General features: G+C 44.3%; 1 protein-coding gene across 12 annotated transcripts in view, besides 4 other annotated features; it reads left to right on the forward strand.

Annotated features, from left to right (window-relative positions):
* EML1 (EMAP like 1) overlaps positions 1 to 23,027 on the forward strand; it is a 204,339-nt gene that overhangs the window by 133,011 nt on the left and 48,301 nt on the right. For 6 of the 12 annotated variants that reach the window (NM_001375411.1, NM_001440377.1, NM_004434.3 and 3 more), the window contains exons 4-5: positions 7,753 to 7,887; positions 20,467 to 20,495. In NM_001375411.1, coding sequence (NP_001362340.1) covers positions 7,753 to 7,887; positions 20,467 to 20,495 — 164 coding nt within the window. Of the gene's footprint in view, positions 1 to 4,198; positions 4,256 to 7,752; positions 7,888 to 20,466; positions 20,496 to 21,406; positions 21,464 to 23,027 lie in introns of those variants that run through there. The other 6 variants (XM_005267398.3, XM_005267397.2, XM_005267399.4 and 3 more) reach the window with 3 other exon arrangements.
* Positions 5,698 to 6,250: an enhancer, noted in NCBI's record as "H3K4me1 hESC enhancer chr14:100342767-100343319 (GRCh37/hg19 assembly coordinates)". NCBI's record gives its function as "activates a minimal SCP1, AML or CMV promoter by ChIP-STARR-seq in naive H9 embryonic stem cells {active_cell/tissue: H9 hESC(naive)}" and the evidence as "EXISTENCE:reporter gene assay evidence [ECO:0000049][PMID:30033119]".
* Positions 12,922 to 13,459: an enhancer, noted in NCBI's record as "OCT4-NANOG-H3K4me1 hESC enhancer chr14:100349991-100350528 (GRCh37/hg19 assembly coordinates)". NCBI's record gives its function as "activates a minimal SCP1, AML or CMV promoter by ChIP-STARR-seq in naive H9 embryonic stem cells {active_cell/tissue: H9 hESC(naive)}" and the evidence as "EXISTENCE:reporter gene assay evidence [ECO:0000049][PMID:30033119]".
* Positions 17,652 to 18,305: an enhancer, noted in NCBI's record as "H3K27ac-H3K4me1 hESC enhancer chr14:100354721-100355374 (GRCh37/hg19 assembly coordinates)". NCBI's record gives its function as "activates a minimal SCP1, AML or CMV promoter by ChIP-STARR-seq in primed H9 embryonic stem cells {active_cell/tissue: H9 hESC(primed)}" and the evidence as "EXISTENCE:reporter gene assay evidence [ECO:0000049][PMID:30033119]".
* Positions 18,306 to 18,959: an enhancer, noted in NCBI's record as "NANOG-H3K27ac-H3K4me1 hESC enhancer chr14:100355375-100356028 (GRCh37/hg19 assembly coordinates)". NCBI's record gives its function as "activates a minimal SCP1, AML or CMV promoter by ChIP-STARR-seq in naive and primed H9 embryonic stem cells {active_cell/tissue: H9 hESC(naive and primed)}" and the evidence as "EXISTENCE:reporter gene assay evidence [ECO:0000049][PMID:30033119]".

The raw sequence follows: 23,027 nt of genomic DNA on the forward strand, positions 1-23,027 counted from the left end.
GTTGTAGCAATATGATGTACTGAATATTCTTAGCCCATTGTTGAGGCCTACTGCTCGGAAGAAAAAGCTTCCTTTCCAAATATTACCATTCATTTACAGTGTACCTAGTCATCCAGGAGCTCTGATGGAGCGGAAATTAATGTTTTTATGCTGGCTCACACAACACGCATTCTGCAGCCCTTGGATCAAGGAGTAATTTCAACTGTCAAGTTTTATTATTTAGGAAATAACATTTTTTTTTTTTGAGACAGTCTTGCTCTGTCACCCAGGCTGGAGTGCAGTGGCGCGATTTTGGCTCACTGCAACCTCCGCCTCCCGGGTTCAAGTGATTCTCCTGCCTCAGCCTCCCAAGTAGCTGGGATTACAGGCGCACACCACCATATCCAGCTAATTTTTTTGTATTTTTAGTAGAGACAGGGTTTTGCCATGTTGGCTAAGATGATCTCGATCTCTTGACCTCATGATCTGCCCTCCTCGGCCTCTCAAAGTGCTGGGATTACAGGCGTGAGCCACCGCACCTGGCAAGGCATTTGCTGCCATTGATAGTGATTCCTCTAATAGATCTGGGCAATGTCAACTGAAAACCTTCTAGAAAGGATTCAACATTTTAAAAGTCTTTAAGAACATTTGTGGGGCCAAGCACAGTGGCTCACACCTGTAATCCCAGCACTTTGGGAAGTCGAGGCAGGAGGATCACTTGAGGCCAGGAGTTTGAGACTGCAGTGAGCCATGATTGTGCTACTGCACTCCAGCCTGGTCAACAGAGCGAGACCCTGTCTCAAAGGAAAAAAAAAAAAAAGAACATTTATGATTCATGGGAGGAGGCCAAAATCTCAACATGAACAGGGAAGTTTGGAAGAAGATGATTTCAGCCCTCATGGATGACTCTGAGGCAATTCAAGACTTCACTGGAGAAAGTCACTGCAAATGTGGTAGAAATAGCAAGAGAACTAGAATTCGAAATGCAGCCTGAGGATAGGACTGAGTTGCTACGATCTCCTGATAAAACTTTAATGGGCGAGGAATTACTGCCAAAATAGTAGTTTCTTGCGATAGGATCTACTCCGAGAGAAGATGCTGTGAACACTGTTCACATTTCATGACAATAAAGGGTTTAGAGTAGCACACAAACCCTGATGAAGCAGTGGCAGGGTCGTGTGGCTGGAGCGTGGGGAACGTGGCCCGGGCTGTCTGGCTCCAAAGCCTGTGCGCCTTCCATTGTGCTCGGCTGCTTCCCGCACAGATTTCCAGGTCAGCCCTGACATCTGCTCAGGAAAAACGCTTGATATAATGACTGCTTGCAAATCATCCTTCTTTTATGCCCCATCCTGTCTGTGTACTATTTGTGGGAGCAGGAGCAGCAGTCAGGAGTGAGGGTGACTCTCAGCAAAGATTTCTCAGATTGCAGGTCTGATGTTGTTAAGGGGATGTCGGGGCCAAACACCAAGTAAGGAAACAAGTCCTGGCTATGAACAGAGGCCTGGGTCTTACACCCCCACATTTCAGCCACATATGAAAGGGCTCCTAGGTGGCAATTACTCTCAGCAATTTTATCTTAGGGAAGAAGGGAGGGAGGAAGGGAGCAAGACAGGAAGGAGTGAACGAACACGTGAAAAATTATGCTTAGTAGCCATCGTGTTATATCTAAGTGTGTACGTGTGTGTGCTAGCACTTAAATGGTAACCCTCCTCCCAGAAACATTCTAAGGCCTCTGTAGACTTTTCCTTATAATTTACAGAATATCCGTTTGATTACTCTAATAAGCTATTGTCAGCATATAGCTGCCAACTAGAAATACATATTTTTCTAGACTGAGTGTCCAAGACTCTGGGTTTTGAGTGAAAGTGTAGTGATTCATGTATTTTGGTTCGTTTCTGGCATTTATGGGCTTCGGTGGATGGGACTTCCCTTCCATTTGGAAGCTAGAAATAAGAACAGTAGCATCTAATTGCTACTCTGTGGTAAAGTTCCTATAGATCTCTCATTAGGAGAGAATTTTGAAAACAGAAAGAAGCAGGCTGGGCATTCTGAATATTAGGATTAAAATAACTTCCAAGTCATTTCAAATATGTTTACAATCAGGTAGGAATTTTTCTGTAATCAGAGTTCCAAATTAAATGAGTTGGGGCATCTGTGGTGTGTGGATGGGTATATGTTTGTTTTCTTTTCTCCGGGGGTTTTTCAGCCTGGTGCTTAAGAACAAAATCCCCTTTGGAAATAGTCCAGTTCCCAGCGGTTGTGCTTTGTGTTGCCAATTAAGACTTCGATTGAGGGCTTGATTTGGAATCCTTGGGAAAAGCTTTGTTTCCATTAGGCAAAGGAAAAAAGGCAGAAAATCCAGGGAAGACATTGTAGGTCATACCTTGCTCAGTGGGGATGCGGAGGCTGACAATGGAGTAACATTTCTACTGGTTCAAGAAAGAGACAATCACTGTTCTCTGGGCTCATAAGTAGAGCATGACAATAGGCCAAGCTATGTGAACAGAGATCAAAAGAACAAAACTGGTACAAAAAGCGTTATTTAAAAAATGCTCTGTGACAAATGTGAGATAGACTGGTAAATATCTCTTGCTTCCAAACAAACAGCCAATAGTCCTTTGGAAAAATAGTTCCACTTGTTAGAAGTACAGCATTTGTAATTGCACTGAAGCCAGTGCTGGGTACATAGCGTGATTTGAAGAATAGAAAGCCAAAATCTGGCTTCAGTTGATTTTTAAGAATTATTTCTAATATATTTCTCTATTATTCCGATCCATTGAAACGTAGGTGATAAATCCATGTTTGAGTCTGTTCTCAGTAGCAAAATAGAGGTGGAAGTATTGTCCTGTTGAACAAAGGAAGACCTGCGGGACCTGTCCCCTTATCAGAAGTGATATGGTTCTCCCCACTAGCTCGAGTAGTTGACTTTGTATTGTAGAAAGAAAGACTTATGTATATAGAATTCTCTAAGATTCTCCCAGACCACTAGCCTTCCTGAAAAATGACTTGGATTTTGCCGAAGATCAGTTTTTAGACAGTGAAAGATATGAGCATTTGTTAATTTAATTACTGAAGTGCGTTATCTCAGTCTGTCAGAATTATCTCCTAATTTGAGGGACAAAAGCCAGGTGGGTCCTGGTCCCTTGTGGACCCTCCAGCACTCAGCATAGCGCACAGTGGATGGTTGATGCCTAGTAAGTGTCTGTTGAGCAGATCACTGCTTTTATCCAGTGTTAGTCGCCCCAGCTGTCAGGACAAATGAAATCATCAGAAAATCTCTGGTCACACATAAGAGCTGTCTGTCAGATTTCTGTTTTGGTTGTAAAAGTTTGGGATACTTTTGCAAAATTTTGGAAAATCAATTTTTGATTCCCAATCACATGATGAAAGAAAACCTAATTGTAGCTTCTTATGCTTAGAATTCTTATTAACCATAAGAAGAAAGACATCTGTTTTTCTTATGGTCACCAGTCTCCCTGCAGAAATTTTATTATGTCTAAAGTGTTAAGTGGCACAAATTGTTGAATGCATATGCAATGTAATATAAAGAACCATTTATTTTCATAACTTACAAGGTTGCAGGTTTGGGTGTGCGGACAGAGAGCAGAAGGGAAAACAAAATAAGTGGTGATGTCTATGCATTTCTATACAAAAAATACTTGCCTTAAGCACTAAAAAATATACTGCATTATTGCACAGTCTCTCACAAGCCAGTACTTCTACCACTTTCAAAATAAAGAGCATTATTTTTCACTCGCCGTCCAGAGAGAACATAGCTTCTTTGATATTCCCTGCTGGTTATTTGAGGAGGCTTCCTGCAGTGAGTGTACGGTATTGCTCTCTCTGGCTGCCCTTGTTACTGCAAATGTCTTGTCTTTAAGCTTTATTTTCTGTCCTTCACTTTGAGTCCTAGTAAATCCTCTTTAATTCATAAGAGCCCTTGGTTCTCAAAAGGAAATGTCTTGTTTTTTATTCTACGTCTGGGACAACAGTAAGATTTTTTTAAAAAGTTTAACATTTTAATGCAAATATGGGAATGACAAATATCTTGGAAGAGTTGTGAAGGATTATATCCACGTCTATATTTGCGAACCAAAATGTCTTTCGATTTTGATGTGTGCGTCCTGCAATTTACTGAAGCTTATCAAAATACTTTTCCACGCTTTTATTAATTGCACTCACATTTATTCTGCTTTATTTCTGTGCCTCTTATATGTAGATTAAACAGATCTGTGAGTCTTCTCAATGCTTGCAAACTGAATAGATCGACACCAAGGTGAGGGGAACTTAGATTTACTTTGTCACCATAGCTGTTCCTTCCATTGTTTCCATCTCTGTTTTAACGTAGTAGCTTCAAGGTCTTGTCCAGTGCCTACCATTCATCAAGTCATCAATCATGTAACTATATTAATCATTGACATTTATTGTTTTTTTAGATGCTCAACTGGTCCTCCAAAACAGTATACTTTGGCGGTTCATAAATTGCAGATGGTGTTAATTAGGGGCCTAATAGAGAGAACACAGGGTTGAAGTCACCAGCCCCACCACTTGCTGTAACCCCAAACAAGTTGCTTCACACTCCTGAATTCGGTTCTTCATCTGTAAAATGAGGATAATGATATTGCTGCAGGGGATTTGTGAGGTTTGAATTAAGTAATACAGTATATGTAAAAGTCCAGAGTATGCCTTAAACGTTAACTGTGGCTGCTGCTGCTGCAGTTTTCATCACTGGCACCCCCGTGAACTCTTCCAGCCACCAGGTTGAGTGTTAATTATTAGAAAATCAGTTAGTGTTTGCTGTAATTGATGAACAGTTGTGGTTTTTCAGCTCTTTAAGGGTGTTTTATACAGTTCTTTAAGTTGCTATGAACTTGCCATGAACTCCCACAAGGACGCCCCAGAAGCTGTGCTCTGGGCTCTTCTTGCGGCTGCAAAATCTCCCAGGGCCCCGGCAGCTGGTTGGGCAAAGTGTGCATCAGAGCCTTGTACTAAAGACTGGGCGGAGAATAATCCTGCTAAGTCAAATTAGCTTGGTGTTTGTCGTCATGGGAACATCTTGAACTTGAAGCACAAAGGCTCCTATAATTTTTAGACTTTAATCCCAAATTTCAGAAATGTAATGCTCTCTTAAAATCTGTAATTTCCTTGTCCCCAAATTGAGCATTCTAAAAACACACATTTTGACCTTAAGGCACACCCTGCAGATTGCAGTTGTAAGATTCTGGCACTGTCCACTCAGGGGTTCCCCAGTTAACAAAAAGACTATGTGGAAAGTGTATTCAGATAATCACCCTGAGAGTGATTTCAAAGCCAGCATACCATGAGGGTTTTTAAAAACCTGCTTGGAGATTACTAACTGAGCCACTGGAAGTTGCAAAGGAAGGAAGAGTGAAAGTTGAGCTAAGGAGGGTGTATAGACAGAGGAGACAGAGAGGGGAAGGAAGGAAGAGAGGAGAGAGTCACTGGCTACCAAGAAGGAGAGTGGCCAGCCCCAGGCAGGAGCTGCCTGGATGGGAGGCTTGTCATTTACTTATGAGGAGGGAGGACGTTGAGCTTCAGTGCAGGCGCAGGGGTCTTGCTGTGTTAAGTTCCTCAGCTCCTGCGTGCTCCTTGTTGAGATCTGGTCCCCGTGCACCCTTCACTGAAGCTGTGCCCACTGGCGCCGCCTGAGACTCCCCACTTCCCAGGGCTCACCCCCTCCTCTGTGCAGCACCAGCACATTTACCTAATCCTGCGCTAGCCTTTGCGCACCACTCCTTCTCTCCTGGTGTCGCTGCTACCTCTGACTCCTGTGGTAGCTTCTCAGCCCACGTCTTTAAACATTAGTTTCCCCAGGGCTCTTCTGTCCTTGGTCACCTCCTCCCTCGGTGATTTCCTCTGCATCCGTGGCTCAGCACCCGCCAGATGGATAGAGTCTGTCCTGAGCTGTCTCGCGTGTTGCAGGCTTGTATTCTCACCCACCCACACCTCCAGCTCCAAGTGTCAAGACTAGAGCCACCCAAGTCTGTGTGTGTTCCCAGAGCCCTGGCCCTAGAACAGCCCCCTGCCTGCCCCTCCCCTCCTCCTTTTTTGCTTACAGAGCAGGTGCTGCATTAAAGCAGTTTGTGTCTCTTCTGGTGACAGGGTCAGTGTGTGATACTTCCATTTATTTCATCCTTTCATTTAATAAATGTGTACCAAACTTTTGTATAGGGCTCTGCAAAGCTACGAAAATGATAAATGAGATAAGATCTCAAGAAATGCGTGGACTAATGATGTAGATTTTTAAGTATGTACAGAGATACCTATACTAGAGTTATGTGCTCTGTCTTAGTGAGTTTGGGTTGCTGTAACAAAGTCCATAGACTGGGAAGCTTATAAACAGCAGAAATATATGTCTCACCATCCTGGAGGCTGGGAGTCCGAGACCAGGGGGGCCAGCATGGTCAGGTTCTGATGAGGGCTGTCTTCCAGGTTGCAGGCGGCCATCTTCTCACATGGTGGAAAAGGGTAAGAGAGCTCTCTGGGCCTCTTCCATAAGGGCACTAATTCCACTCATGAGGGCTTCACCCTGCTGACCTCATCACCTCCCAAAGGCCCCACCCCCTAACACCATCACATTGAGGGTTAGGGTTTCCACACATGAATTTGGGGAATACAAACAGTCCATAGTGTGCTCTAAGAGGGGAACAATCAGCCTCCACTCCATACCTGGGCTCTGGTTTACCCCTCATGCCTACGAATCCCCTGTGTATAGGGGATCCCTTCTCCTAGAGCAGGCTCTTTCCATCTGTGTCATAACAACACATTCAAGCCATTCATTTGATCTTTCCCGGAATTTCGCAGTCTTTGGGAAGACTTCCCCAGGCTGCCTTCCCAGGCCTCTGAGCACTCTAGTCCCTCTTGTCCTATGAATGAAGTTGGCCGCTTAACATGGACACCACCTCCAAACAAAGGCATTGTACACAGGGTGGAACGTTTCTGTCGTTACTCGTGACGTCCTGTTAGCATTTGTCCCACGCCTGCCTTTAGGCCAGATTTCTTCAACCTCAGCACTATCGACGTCTGGGGCCAGGTGCTACTTTGTGGAGTGAGCCATCCCGGGCCATGCAGGATTTCTAGCCGCACCCCGGGTCTCCACCCACTACATGGCAGTAGCAGTCCCTCCCCAGCTGTGGCAACAGAAGGATGTCGCCAGACATTGCCAGATGTCTTGGGGGCACCATCCCCCCGGGTTGCACACCACCATCTGGACCAAGGTTGTCCAACCCATGGGCCCATGGGCCTTGTGTGGCTCAGGACAGCTTTGAATGTGGCCCAACACAGATTTGTCAACTTTCTTAATACTCTATTTTCTTTGCAATTTTTTTTTTGTTTAATTCGTCGGCTATCGTTAGCATTAGTATATTTTATATGTGGCCCAAGACAATTCTTCTTCCAATGTGGCCCAGGGAAACCAAAAGATTGGACATCCCTGGAAAGTGAAGCCTACTCAAGGGCAGGATTGCTTCCCTGGAAGCCCCTGGAGTGCTCTCACACGGTACTGTTGAAGTCTTAATGCCTCAGTTTCTCCATGACTGTGAACTGTGCTAGTGGCCTCAGTTAAAAAGGCAGAGAGAGAGCAGAGATGTTATTCTATGTGACACTCTGAAAAGCTTTTTGATCTCCGTTGCTAGGCCTGTCTTTTGAATATCCATGTGGAAGTATGACGTTCTATGTATATATTTGTATGCTTAGCAATAAAATAAAGTCACGATATTAAGGAGTTCACTGTCACTTCCATTCCACCCTTAGTAACATCAAGAGGACCAGCTCTTCTGAACGAGTGTCTCCTGGGGGTCGAAGGGAAAGCAATGGGGATTCCAGAGGAAACCGGAATCGCACAGGCTCCACCAGCAGCTCTTCCAGTGGCAAAAAGAACAGTGAAAGGTAAGGACGTCTTATCTCTCAGTTCCTGCTGTTCAGATATGTTAGTACGGCTTGTCCCCAGAGAGGAGTCAGAAGATCCCCTCATATTCCAACAAGCTGGGAGTACTCTTGGAGAAGAAGACCTTCTCCTCAGGTATTTATAGGACTAATCAAACAGCCATTTGAGGGCAGCTGCCAGGCACAGTTCACACAAACTACCGTCCAGGTGGAAAAACTGTCACTCAGATTCCCAGCACTCTCATGTAGACATAAGTAGTTCCTGAGAATTTCTTAGTACCAAGTACCTAGAACTGGGGAAGCCATTCTGAATTTCTACCTGAGCACCTTCGATTTCTAGTACACTCTCCTGACCTTTTTAAGTTCATTTTAATGGACTGCTTTAAGTTTGTCAGCAGTATTTTCTGAGACACAGTGGCTGAAAAGTTGTAATTTTATGATTTATCAGAGGCTATGTTTCATATTGATGCTAACACCAGAAATGTGAACCATTTTTCTTTATGGTTTCATGAAATACGTGGACTCCAAATTTTTGAGTTTTTCTATGAGGTTAGTTTGTAATGGATTATGATAAGTATCAGTGAAACTAATAGTAACATTTTGTTCCTGAATGCTGCTTTTTGGCATTTTAGCAGCTTGTTTTGTGTCTATATAATATATTTATATCTATATAATGTACTTTGTAAAGAAAATCCAGTTTCTCTATGTATTTTTACCTAACATTGTACTTTGTTCTCACTTTTTAAACATTGTACTTTAATTTTATTCTCTCTGTTTAGTAAAGCTGAGGAAGGAATTTCAGCTTCAGAGGCTAAGCATGTGTTTTTTTTCCCAAATGTTCATGTAAGGAGAAGGCTTAGTCATAAAGCAATCGACTCCAACCCACAGGCTATAAAACTTCCAAGTTTGTAAATCCATGGTGATTCAGTCCTATAAAGGAAGCTTAAACTCTTTTTCAGTTTTATTCCTAAAAGATGTCTGTTGTAGAAAACATAGAGACACTTCTCACATCTATAACAGGTCAGGTCCACGGTCTATTAACAATTTAAAAAACCATTAACATGGGTTCTGTCTTCTTCTCATTTAGACTATTAGTACTTCTTATCAGAAGATTATGCTAATGGGGTGATAATACCTTGGAAATGAGGCCAAGTGGTTACAGTGGCAACAGAGTGTGAATTAGTGGGAGGTGCAACGTAGCCCAAAGCTTCTTTGAATTCAGGGTAAGCTTGGAAGTTGACCTGAAATGTCTAGATCTTGGCAGTTCTTAGAGACTTGGCTCCTCCTCTGCACATCTGATTTTTATTAAGAATTTCCAAAAAGAATCTGCATTGTGTAAACTCCAGATCCATTTTATCTTTAAAATCCTATGGCTTTGGTAAATGTGCTGGGTAAATATTTCCATAGAAGATATTTACAAAGAGATTTTTGAGAAATGCCACAGTAGGAAATTTTGATTTGGAAATGAGGGACTGGGAAAATTTACTAATCATGTTCCCAAACTAATTCAGGCAACTAAACATGTCCATTTAAAAATAAATTCTTTGTCTTGTTAGAACCCAGGCGTGGTTGAGGCGAGCATAGCACAGAGCTGGCTGAGTTTCATGCATCATGCACTGAAGGGGTTTCAGAGACAGTTACTGTCTCCTCTTAGGCAATTGCTGGTCTTGACAGGGACCCATAGGAGTAAGAGCTGCAGTAACTCAAAAGAAGCAGCTAAGACTCGGTAGAAGTGAAGGTTAAGCTGGTAATTCAGTGGCTGCCTGACCCCTTCCCGCCTTTCTTCCTCTGTATTCCCACGTGCGCAGCCCCATGCTCAGGCTGCCTTGACCCCAGCACCAAAGCAGATCTGGAGTCTTGCTGAGAAATGCCACCCTCGAGGATGGGACACAGGGAAGGAAAGGAGTAGGGAGGTGGCCCCCATGTAATTTCTGTTTTTAAACATTACTGCGTTCAGTGGACTCAAGATGGCATGCCTCGTCCCCATCGCTCACTCGACATGTCCATTGTTCCTGCAGGCTGTCCTGTGATTTAAAAAATTGCCCTTGTTGGGTTCCTGTAGGCAGCAAGACATGGTGGAAAGGGCAGAGGCTCTGCAGTAAAAGAAAGATCTGGGTGTGTATCCAGTTCTGCCTTAATGTCTCCAAGCCTCAGTTTTTTCCTCTACAAATTAGAGATTTTATACCTAATGCCCTTGAATCTTATAAATGAGCTAACTTGTAGGAAATTATCCAGCGTAGGGCTTGGCACTCAGTAAATGATCGTCATCCCTGTGATAGTTCTTATAAAGACAGGCTTGTGTGGAGCAGAGGAAAGTAATCAGTGAGATTTTCTACAATTCCTCACTTTTTATTTTCCTCATTTGTAAGATGAAAGTGTTAGATTTTGTCACAATCCGCGTTGCACTTGTGTCTAACGTAGTTGGGGGAAATAAAGTATTATAAATCCTTGTGAAGCTCACAGTTCTTAAATAAGGCATCGGGCGGGAGCTGGTCTGTGGGCTGCTTGCGATCCCAGCCTGCCCGCTGTTCCAGAGCCCCATTCTCTTCCACTCAGGAAGGCTAGTTAGGGTGCATGTGAGTGAGAGTGCTGACGTCATAGGGATGGCTTCCACCCTGTGCTGCTTTGTAGAAGAAGCAAATCATTCACACAGGCAGTGCTTTAACTTGCAGCCACAACAGATTATTAGCCATAAAGCTCACAGCTTCTCACACGCCATGTGCAAAGCTGTCGTTAGCACATATGGCACTTAGGCGCAAATTAGAAAAAGGCTCCCTTTACTTCAGAAAAACAGTTCCATCTCAGCACTATTTCTCAATAATAATACTTACAGCAGATAGAAAACCATTCTGTATAAATTATACAAATCTTACTATTGAACACAAAATAATAGTGTTTGTGGAGTCCTAAATATTAACCTTTTCTGAGATACTTTATTTTAAAGTAATTACATGTTTTGCTTTCATAAAACTATATTCTTTTTCTTTTTCCTTTTTTTTTTTTGAGATGGAGTCTCGCTCTGTCACCAGGCTGGAGTGCAGTGGCACAATCTCGGGTCACTGCAGCCTCTGCCTCTTGGGTTCAAGAGATTCTCCTGCCTCAGCCTCCCGAGAAGCTGGGACTACAGGTGCGTGCCACCATGCCCAGCTAAGTTTTATATTTTTAGTAGAGACGGGGTTTCACCACATTGGCCAGGATGGTCTCGATCTCTTGACCTTGTGATCCGCCCACCTCGGCCTCCCAAAGTGCTGGGATTACAGGCGTGAGCCACCGCACCTGGCCAAAACTGTATTCTTTATGATAGTTTCAGTCTTCTTGCTCCCATGTCTCATTTTCTTTACAAATGGTCACTGGATTTGAGTCTTTCTTGTGATATGGAAGACCTTTATCTTAGAATGTTTAATTTTTTCAAATACTTTGTAACAAGCCACAAAATTTTAACAGCATTTAATCTTTGCACCAACAAAACCTCTATTAAAAACAAAAGCAATATATGGTAGTATTTTACTTTATGTATTATTGATGATAAATGAACGTTAATAATTACATAGTGATTCATGTCATCATGAAATACTACATTTAAATAGAGAATTGGCAATAACATCGTGATGGAAGGCTTGTAAAATGTAGCCAGTGAACTAATCTGATGGAGATATTTTTCAATTAAAAAAGTATTTTATACCTGATAGAAAATTGGCTGCTTATTTAGAAGCACGGTTCATGTTAGATGTTGCTAGATTGATAAAGCATTTCAATTATCAAACTGGTTCCCCTTTTGTAAGTCTTAAGGGAATGAGCTATGTCAGCTCTATAAGCAAGACACTGTTTCAGCTTTACTGAAAGTTGTTGAAATGAGTTGATTTTGTTAGAATAAGGATGTTTCAGTCATGTGCTAGAAACTTTGTTGTCACATATGTATAAATCAGGGGTGTCCCTGGACTTCGGCCTCCCTGGACTTTTGGCTTCCCCAGATTAAAAGAATTGTCTTGGGCCACACACAAAATACACGAACAATAATGATAGCTGATGAGCTAAAAAAAAAAAAAAAAAAAAAAAAAAGAAAATTGCCAAAAAAATCTCATGTTTAAGAAAGTTTACAAATTTGTGTTGGGCCACATTCAAAGTCGTCCTGGGCCGCATGTGGCCTGTGGGCTGTGGGTTGGACAAGTTTGATATAAACTGCCCATCTTTGGAGTCAACAAACATGAAAAAAAAAAAACCCACCTCAAAATAGTGAAGACGTTGGCATGTTAGGTGTGGTGCCCTTTTGTGTTGTGCCCCCTCAACCCCGGGATCAGACAGCCCCGTAGTACAGCTGTCAGGTCGAGAACCACTGGGCTGGACACCTTGAGCGCCTGTCCTTTCTAAAGCTCTAGCATTTGGTGACTATTTCATCTCAGGGCTCTTCAGGGCGCAAAGTTGTTTTTCCTTTACGATAGCATCACTGCTGCCGTCGGCTCAACAGTACTCCTTGGCTGGGGCTCTGGGCCCTTCATCCACCAGCTCCTCATTCCCTTTTGTGCCCTGACACGCATGCCTCTCCAACACATTGCGCACTTTTCCCCAGCACAACTTTTTTCCTTTTTTGAGGCCATTTATTTATTATACAAGTAACTTGTTTTAGAAAATCTAGGCCGGGCGTGGTGGCCCACTCCTGTAATCCTAGCACTTCAGCAGGCCGAAGCGGGTGGATCACTTGAGCCCAGGAATTCAAGACCAGCCTGGACAACATGGCAAGACCCCATCTCTACAAAAAATACAAAAATTAGCTGAGCGTGTTGGCACATACCTGTAGTCCCACCTACTTGAGAGGCTGATGTGGGAGGATTGCTCGAGCCTGGGAGGCTGAGACTACAGTGAGCTGCGATCATACCACTGTACTCCGGACTGAGCAATGGGAATGAGACCCTTCCTCAAAAAAAAAAAAAAAAAAATCTAGATGCACTAAAAAGAAGAAACAACAATCACCTGCAGTCTCACCACTCAGCGAACTCACAGCCAACAGTCATTACATTTCCACGTGGACTTTTATTTGCAGGGTGCTGTATGAGTGTAGTGTATAATTTTGACATAAATGCCATTCTTGTGCATATTTTGTGATCCCTTCTTCATTTGCTAAATGAGCATGTCTTTGTGTGAATAAATGCACTCTTGCAATGTTATTTTAGATGTGGTTCATCATGTTTCCAGCCCGAAGTACTTCAGTTGGACGTTTAAGTACCAAACAAGTTTCACTAATCCACTCAGACCAGGCCACCATCTAGAACAATGCCCAGCACACAGTAGGTGCTCAACAAGCATTAGTCGAATGAATCTTTTTGCCCTGATCACTATAACAAAAGAAGGTTAAAATGATGGGCCTTTATTGCCACAGCCAAGTGTTAATCCCAGCTCTGCTGCTTTGCTTTGTCATTGTGAACAAGTGACTTAATCTCTTTGGGGTTTTCCTCAGTAGCAGTAAAAGTGGTACCTGCCTCACAGGGTGCCTAAGATCCCATGCATAGGAGCCTCAGTGCAGAGCTGGTCTGCGGTCGGCTCGCCACAGTGGCAGCTGTGAGTGTCATGTCTGCATCCCAGACTGTTGGAGTTGAGGCCTGCACACTTGTGTCCCTCCCACTCCCCTGCTTGCAGGGCTTTTTTTCTTGGGGATGTCTTGGAATTCCCCAGCGCCTGTTTCTGTCTTTATCCCAGCCTGAAAAGCGAGGAATCAGAAATTCTGAAAATTGTTCTCACCTTGCTCTTTCAGTTTCACTGCTGTGCTGGACTTATGGAGCACCTGCTGTGTACAGAACGTAGTCCAAGGCATGGCAGGGAGTGGGAAGGAGCAGCACAGAAAGACTCATTCTCCTAACAAATGTCAGTGGCACAATGCCTGCAGGGCTGCTTTGCTTAATTCCCAAAGGACTCACAAATGGGAGAACAAGATAATCCACGGAATAGAAAAATGGTAAAGGGTCTGCACAGGCGCTCACTGAGAAGGAAATACCAGTGGCCCTTAACTCATGAATAGGCAATCAAGCCCAGACCTAATTAAAGACATGCCGATCTAAGTAAGAAGATAACATATTTAGAAAATTCTTTTTACTTTACTATAAAATAAAGCACAGATGCAGAAAACCACACAAGCAAATTCGTAGCTTAATGAATTGTTCTAAGGCAAACACCTTCTAGCACCTAGGAGGAGGAGGGGTTTTCCCCTCTCCCAAGTGACAGGTGGATGTATCTGGAACTGGGGGTGGGGGCAGGGAAGGTGACTGTTTTTGATGAACTCCAGCTCATCCTTCGAGACCCAACTCAGGATCCCCTTTTTCTGGGAGCCTCCCCTGGCTCTCTAGTCTGAGAGCAGTGCTTTTCAGATGGTGTCGTAACTGCCTGTTAACTTTATCTGTGACTCTGTAGCTCTCCTCCCTTCACCATGCTGCACACACCGCTTGCCCTCCCTTAGGCTCTGGAGGCCCAGGCCGTGCCATTCTTATTCTTTGTATCTCTAGTACTTTACACAGCACTTGGTGAACATGAGTGCTCAATAACTATTTGTTGAATGGATGGAAGGATATTGTATACGATCAGGCATCACTTAATGACAGGCACATTCTGAGAAATGCATTGTTAGGTGTTTTCTCATTGTGTGAACATCATGGAGTGTGTGTTTACAGAAACCTTCATGGTCCAGCCTGATGGTCTAGCCTGCTGCTCCTGGGCTACAGACCTGTACAGCACATGACTATAGGGAATACTGCAGGCAGTGGTAACACAGTGTTAAATATTGGTGTATCTAAACATAGAAAAGATACCATAAAAATACAGTATTATAATTTTGTGGGACCACAGACATCTATGTGGTCCATCATTGACAGAAACACCCGTGTCTAGCCCATGACTGCATTTCATTTGAAAGCCACAGCCATTCAAGAACTATGTAAACAGCACCACCTATGGGTAGACAATTTTAACACCACATTTTACACTGGAAGATGAGACTTACGCATTTTTTACTGAAAAAAATGTTTCACTCTTCAAGCCATGGGGTCATTTATGTTTTAATAAATTTCAAAATGATAAGTGCTAATATTCTTCATATTGTTTTAGTTTTGAGACTGTTAGCTGAGGAGTCTGGAAATACAAAGGTTTTTGCAGTGAAAGGAGGAGGAAGAGGGAAGCCATATTAATTAATAACATGTTGGACGCATTGTAACATATCTTATTTAATCGTGCCAATAACCTGTTCCTCACAGTGGTTGTATTCCCATTTTTAGATTAAGGAGGTTAAGCTGGTGGAGGTGAAGCCCCTCACCCAAGCCCTAGAACACGGATCCAGCTGGCCTCAAAATCTGTGCTCCTTCCACCATGTTAAGCTGGGAAGTATTGGTTGGAAATGTCTATGAAGCAGTCGCTTTTGTCCCAAATAAAGTCTCCAGCAACTTCTAAACATTTTGAATAGATGGTTCTTAAATGACCCTATTTCTAATAAAAAGCTGCTTAAGGACAATTTTTGTAGAGTCATTATTTCCATGGTGGAGTATTCTGACTTCCAGCAGGAACTTTATTTCATCACGTGAAGTCATTTTTAAAAGCAGTCATGTGGCTGAGCCCAGTGGCTCACACCTGGAATCCCAGCACTTTGGGAGGCCAAGACAGGCAGATCATTTGAGGCCAGGAGTTTGACACCAGCCTGGACAACATGGCGGAACCCTGTCTCTACAAAAAATCTAAACATTAGCCGAGTTTGGTGGCATATGCCTGTAGTCCCAGATACTTGGGAGGCTGAGGTGAGAGGATGGCTTGAGCCAGGAGGTGGAGGTTGCCGTGAGCCGAGATCACACCACTGCACTTCAGCCTGCGCGACAGAGCCAGACCCTGTCTCAAACAAAAAGAAGTCATGTTATTCCAAGAGCCAAAGTTGTTCTGGATTAATAAATTGTAGGGAAATCACATGTTTAACTTTGGAATGGACTCCTCCTCTATCAAGCCTTATTAATCACTTTCAAAAGCAAGTATCTCTGCTCAAACAGCACGTGGCTCCTATTAGTTCCACTCTGATCCTAGTTGCCCAGGACTTCTTACACATGTCACCACGTGTCGAAGACCTGCAAGATCTGGCCCCAGAGCCCCCTTTCAGGAACATGGGGTTAGGTTAGTTAATGTAGATGAAAGAGATAAGAGCAGATCCCCGCTCTGAGGCACAGTGAATATCTGTTGAGTTGCAGCCTGGACACGTCGTCCACTGGACTCTCCTCCTTATAAATGCCAGTCTATGGTGCAGCAAATAGGAGCTTTATCAGATGAGTAAAAACCAACCACTCTTAGACCATCCCTGTGCCCAAAGTCCACAGTGAACACATTCAGGGATTTGGACTTAGACATACGTGTTCACAGCTGCCTCTGCGGTGTTGACCGCACTGGTGTCTGTTGGTGTGAGCCTCCCAGCTCAGACTGCACTGCTGTCTGTTGGTTGACTGCACTGCTGTCTGTTGGTGTGAGTTTTTCCTTGGGGCAGATGTCTAGTGTTCTCCTGCCATCTCCCCATACAGCTGCTGGTCTGGTGAAGATTCAAATGTACCTCATCCTCCGTTGAGTCTCCACGACTGCTTATATCTTATATCAGCTCTCGAACCATTCAGCTCAAGGGAGCATACAGCCGAGCTCTTTCAGCAAATCTCCTTCTTATAAGCAATAAGAACTGTGCTGGAGTTCGTCTTGGAGATATTGGCCACAACTTAACACCAGAATAGCCAAGCGCTGAGAGTTTGTTCACCGGGGGGGCAAATCCTTTCTCTCCTCCAGGCTTAGTTCTGTCATGGGCTTCAGGGGCAGGTGCAGGACATCTTGATTGACTCCACACTGGGCAAGGGATGAATGGAGCCTCATTCTGCAGCTGGTGCTCCTTCACCCTTCCTAGGACAGGACTGGGCATTCTCCCCCGCACCCCGCCACCGCCATGGAGCCACACCCCAGCTGCTGAGGGGATGTTAAGTCACCCACTTAATTTTTTCCACCGAGCTCACATCAAGAAATGGGGAATCAGAGATGAATTACGTAACACCTTGAGAAGCGATCATCTCCCACTCCAAGTGAATTCACCGCCCAAGCATGTTTCAAAATAGTGCTGGGTCTGAAGGACCCACTCTCAATTTGAGTGGCTGTGCGTTCTGGAGAGATGCACTTTCTGCATACAGCTCCCGTCAACAGACTTTGTTGAGAGGCCACGGTGGCTTCAATGTTCTCTTCTGGTTATCACTGCACATCTGTGTGTTTGCCTTTCTATCAGTTGTTCAGAAGATTTGTCATCATTTTGTGGGCTTATATGCCAAGATTTGCATGCAAGAGTGAAATTACCTCCTCCCAGGCTTGCCTTTTAGAAAAGGTGGTGGTGCATTGGCAGGAGTAATGGGTTCTAAACAAATAAGCTGGGTTTTTTTCAATAAAAACTCAACTTTCTAAAATAATAAAATGTAGCAGTAGTATATTTTCTAAATACAGCATACCACAAAGTGATACATTGTTTAGAGCATGATTTAAAGAAATGTAAGCATTTTAGTACCACCTGATACCTCCTCTCTCAATGACCTTAGTTGTTAACATTCCTGCTACCTAATCTGTTAATAGAAATCTTTCATTCTTCCTCTTACAGTTCTTCAGTGTCGAAGGTCCACGAGCTTCCCTGTATGAAGCGTTCAGATTCCCTTGCGGATTTTCTCTTTGCAGGAAGAACATAGTTCATAATTGCTTTTTTCTGTCTCTAGGGCAAGTTCTGAATTTCTCATTTCTGTGTTCATAGCTTTTGCATCATTCTACTTTTGTGATCAAAGTCATGATAAAAAAATAGTTTTCTTATCTTTTGATTCCATACCTGGCTTCCCTTTGATTATGTTTCTGTAATTAGATTTGCCTCGTAGTCTTTTGTCAGCTTTCCTTCTGTCCTCACCTCCTTCTGCCTGTAAATTTAATCATATATGTGAAATTTGGAGTTAAGATTTCTTCTGCTTCTGCTTAGCACACAGAAAATGACAAGAATGTCACTTCCACCCTAAAAATGAGAACAATTCAGGTATCTACAGTATCATAGCTATTTTAAGGCCACCATGGAGCTGAGGACAGAAAGTAGTATAATGAACTGAAGTGTTACTGAAAAGTGGCAAGCCCATCTGAGGAGGGACAGGCCCCACGGCTGCTTTTGTCTCTGGCAGAGTGGCGGGGAGAAAAGGGGAGCCCTCTTAGATGGGAGTAGGAAATCACCTGGAGGTGTAGAATTGGGAAAGGCTGAGTGTGGACTGGCAGGAGAGTTCAGAGTCCTCAGGGGCTCTGGGCACACGAGAACCCTCCCCCCGCTCAGACGCACTCCGCTTTTCCCCAGACTTCCGTGAGTGTGCATGGTGGATTGGGAGCCGGACAGGCGGCTGAGAGAGACCCACGGAGGCAGAGGCATGCCAGGAGGAAAGCCGAGAGACGTTCTCCACGCTCAGGGCCTGGAACTAAGTGCCAGGCAGCAGCTGGCCACCCCCGAAGGAAGGATGAGGAAAGCTGAGAGAGAGCCCTTTGAGGGGTGGGTGTGTAGTGAGGTCTGGGGACCTGGAGGATGGAGAGAAACTCCATCTGCACACCAAGCCCCACACCAGGTTCTTGGCAGCAGCTGTGTGTGCCCCGGGGAGAGGCAGGATTGCTGAGAGCCGACCCCACCACCACCCACCAGGCACAGATCCTTGGGGCCTGCTGAAGGCTGAAGACGGAGAACCAAGAGGAATTCCACAGGAGCTCCAGGCCTCACACCAGGGCAGCCGCTGTCTATTGTCCAAGGCCCTGGGAATATAGCCATGAACAGAAAGATCCCTGCCCCTGTGGAATTGCCTCCTGGTGGGAGAAACAAAATGAAGGCAGGGGGCAAATAAGTGCTATAGAGAAAAATAAAGCAGGAGGGGCGGGGGCTGTGGCGAGCAGGGCGTGAGGAGGGTTTCAGTATGGAGCAGCGAACATGAATCCGTACGCACGGCTACAGCAGTGGCCTGAGAGTGGCTGACTTCGGGGAGGATGGTCCAGGAGGGCCCATGAGCCAACGCCTGACACGGAGCCTGCTGGGCCAGGTTCCCAGAACAGCAGGGAATATAGTGAAGGGAGATGAGCTCTGAAGAATACAGGGGTCAGGTGCAGATTGGATAGGGCCTTGTAGGCCAATGTAAGACCCAGGCTTTCAGGTTCAAAGGCTGTGCCATGGCTTTTTAGTAGTATTTTCAATGACCATAGTTTAGAGTTTAGGAAACTAAGCCTATAGCTTACAAAACTACTTAAAACACATTTGAACAGAGTAAAACACTTTTAAAGCATCAGGAAAGTAGTAGGCTCTACCACCCCACCCCATGTGCTGCAGGAAATTATCTGGAAATCAAGAATATTAATATAGAATATTACTTACTACATCTTGGGATTAAGGATAGTTTTTATTCCTGGTGTTTTTCATTGTGTTTCAAGTCAAAAATTGAGGAATAATATTAGGAATATATCTGCTCAAGTTTTTGTTTTAAATACACACACACACAAAATGCATATGTAATCCTAGCAGCATTTAAGGCACTATGGTGCCTTATGGGTTCACTATGGTGAACCCAGTGCACCCCTTGACTCCCGTTTATTTCCTGTGTCGTCTTTTGTATCTTAAAGCAGGCAGAAGTCAGGGAAGCTAAGCAGTGCAAAGCATGAACTTTGGAGTCAAAGTTGAGGTCAAGGGGTCACCCCCCTCCCTGAGCTCCCTTGGTCTCCCTGTCCCTGTCTGGAATGGAGACGGTGCCATCTCCCCAAAGGTGGTGTCATGGGAGGGGTGCCCCTGGCAGAAAGTAGTGGGTCTGCAGTGGCGGCCGCCTCTCCTTCTGCCCCCAGGGTCCCCTCGTGGAAGTTTCTCCTGTGAGGTGCTTGCTCCTAGGGATGTCCAGTCTGCCTGCGGCTGTCTGTCCTTAAATGCTTCCTGGGTTTGGTTTCCCAAGTGCTGTCATGGGGTGGTCTCACCTGCTCATGGTGGGTGCCCAGGGTGACTGAAGTCAGCAGGGGTGTCCCTACCTCTCCCAAGAGATGGCTGAGCTGGAGGGTACCACACCCTGGTGTTCCCCGCTTCTCTTTCTATTTTATGTTCACCCACTTGTCTTCCGAGAACAGCCATCTGCTTAGGAGGTGAGCTCTAAAAGGCCTCACCAAAAGATCTTTTGTCAGGAATTTGCTAGTTTTAAATAAGTTCTTTAAATAATCTGTCAGAAGAGTGTAGGGAATAAAAACAACCGTTTTTACACATTTAGACAGGGTCATTCCCTTCTTGATTAATCACATTTTTTCCTCCCCGAAACACTTACTTGCAGTCATAAAAAGCACAACTTTGGTGATAAAGTGAGGATTGCAATCTCTTGCACCTATGAGATTGTTTATGATTGTTTATGTGTGTTCCTTTTTGCAGTGAAATTGGTGGTGTTTTTCTTATTAACGTGTATAACTTATGCAGCATTTGTGTGGCAGACTACTGCAGCCGTGGCTTTGGGGTCTGAAGTGAATGAGATGAAACACCCACAGCACCCTTTAAAAACTGTTTTTCGTTTATTTTCACAGCAAACCCAAGGAGCCTGTATTCAGTGCAGGTAAGTCTGATTTAATTTATGTATGGGAACCCCTCACTCACTCTCTCAGAACTCAAGGGACAGAAAAGAAGTAGCCAGCTTCAGGGGCCAGCCTTGGACACACAGGAGCTTTGGTTTGTGCAGGCCCAGATGGAGCTTTGTACCTGGAGGTTGAATGGCTCAGATAGTGACAGCGAGACTGCCTTTAAACAGTCATAAAGAGCAAACCCTTCACCTACCCTCTCCAAAACCAACGTAAGACATGCCAGTAAGGAGGAGAGTGGAATGCCACCACCTATGCCATGATGGAATTTCTAGATTAAAAGGTGTCTGTTGCCTTGGTTATTCCTTCCTTACTAACTGGATTCTGTTATCAACATTTGCATTTCTCTTAGGGGAAAGTTTCTTATGCATCAAGTTATATAACTGTCTAAAAGTAGCTTTTCTTTTTCTGCCTATGATCTCCTAAACTGCAAACTAATAGTTCATGTATATCTTTCCATATATCTTTTTTAACACCTTTTGTAATAAGGTAGATGCTGTTGTCTAGCATCTTAACCTTATTTAGAAATGCATTTAAAATGCAAAAAATGGACAAGTATGTAATTGATGAAATACATTCATTTAATTTTAATTGTTCTAGTTTTTTCTTAAGTTCAGAATTAAAACATAAAAGTCAAAGTTGTGTATTTATCAGCATGTGCTTTAGTGTTCATTTCATTTTCAGGAAGCATGAAATTACTCACTGAAAATGTACTTGCTGTAAGCTCGCAGGGCCACATTGTGAGCGCACTTGTCAGGATCCCTGAACCGTGTCCAGATTTTAAGACTGGGGGGCAGGTCAGGTGTTGGCCTGCGGGCTAGTGAGGGCTCCGGGCTCCGGGGCAGGCAGGCCAGCCACACTTGCAGTACTCCACCGTCTCTTTATCTAGCCCTTCTGTCTCTGTCTCCGAAATCACAAGGGAAACGCCGGGTGACACACTGCAAAGGTAGGCAGCATTTCTGAAACCTCATAGCTCTCTGAGCAAAGCTGTTACCCAGGCTACAGAAACCTTTTTCATACAGGCAAACAGATGCTCTCCTTGTATGAAAATGTTTTTGTGTTGCAAACCACTTCGATTCATTTTAAGTTAAACGCATCCCTGAGCATTTACTCGGATGGGCTTTAATAAGTGGCTGTAATTTGGATCCCAATTGGTATTGGCTGACTGCAGGAATTTTTTTTTCATCTATGTAAACCTTAAGAGAGCTATAGGGCCACCCCTGGATGTCCCACTGTTTGACTTGGTATCATGCACTGCTGCTGGCCTCTTCCCACTAGCGCCTTTGGGTTTGGTGGCGTGTGTGCTGTTATCCTAACCTGCCTGGAACAAACACTGCTTTCCCTGGCTGCATTTTGATTTTAGATGTAGCCTGTCTGAATCACCAGTACAAAACAGTGCCAAGGCTGACTTCAGTGCTTTTTTTGCCTAGTTCAGTAAGTTAAAATTCTGCAGTAAGTAAGCTCAGTCCTAAGGTTTCTTAATCATCACATACCTGTGATAGACTCATGTGGATATTTCATAGACATTGGTTATATACATCCACACTCTGCATTTTTTATGTGTTGTGGAAATAGCATTATATTGTCTTTATTCCTAACCTACATTCTGCGAGCTTTCTGGCAGGACTGATTCTCTTACAAAGAGAGTTGCTAGAATCCCTTTTCATTTAGCTGTCAACTCCAGTCTCCTGCCCCTCTTTTCAAGAATGTCAATCGTTTGGGTGCTTTTAGATTCTTTGGTTGTGGTAGCCACACAGCCCCTGATGAGCTTATATTTGGGTGAGGTTTAAGGAAGGGAAGAAGCTTCAGAAGAGAACAGCATGAGCGGTGGCACAGACAGGACAGGGTGTAGAGGGGGGCAAAGAGACACGCCTGGCCCCAGAGGAGAATCCCTGTGGGTGGCTGTGGCAGATGAGGTCCTGTGCGGTGAGAGCCTGGCAGGGCATTTAGACCTGCTGGATCCAGCAAGGAAGAGAGCAGGTGAAGAAGTTTACATGGAGGAAGGGCTCCGTAAACCTGGTTTGGGCCTTGGTGGGTTTGGCAGCAGTGTGTAAACTGACCCAGGAGAGCCATAAGACAGCCTGTGGTGATGGGGCCCCAGTGCACCTGGGGAAGTTGGCACCAGTGTGGGAGACATTGTAAGGGGAGGATCCATGGGACGCAGTGGCTGGCACACATAGGCAGGGATGATCGCGTTCATGACTCTCACTCAACGTCAGCCTTAATACGCAGTGTGAAGAGTGTGTCACGTGCATGCATTTAAGACCTGAAGCGCATACACACAATAACATGAAACTGGGGTGCCCTCTTGATTTTTAAGTAATACTGCATGTGGCATTGTTTGAAAATCCTTAAGAATAAGACTTATAAAACTAACTTGTACTATAATTATTTCCTAACTGTTCCTCGCCAATTTCCTCCCTGCGGATGCTTTTTCTGTTGAGTTGTGTACAGGTATCCCTGGTTCCAACTGCCCAGTTTAAATACCATTAAAACCAGGTCCTTTGATC

The sequence above is a fragment of the Homo sapiens genome, chromosome 14, assembly GCF_000001405.40.
Source record: "Homo sapiens chromosome 14, GRCh38.p14 Primary Assembly".
NCBI lineage: Eukaryota > Metazoa > Chordata > Mammalia > Primates > Hominidae > Homo > Homo sapiens.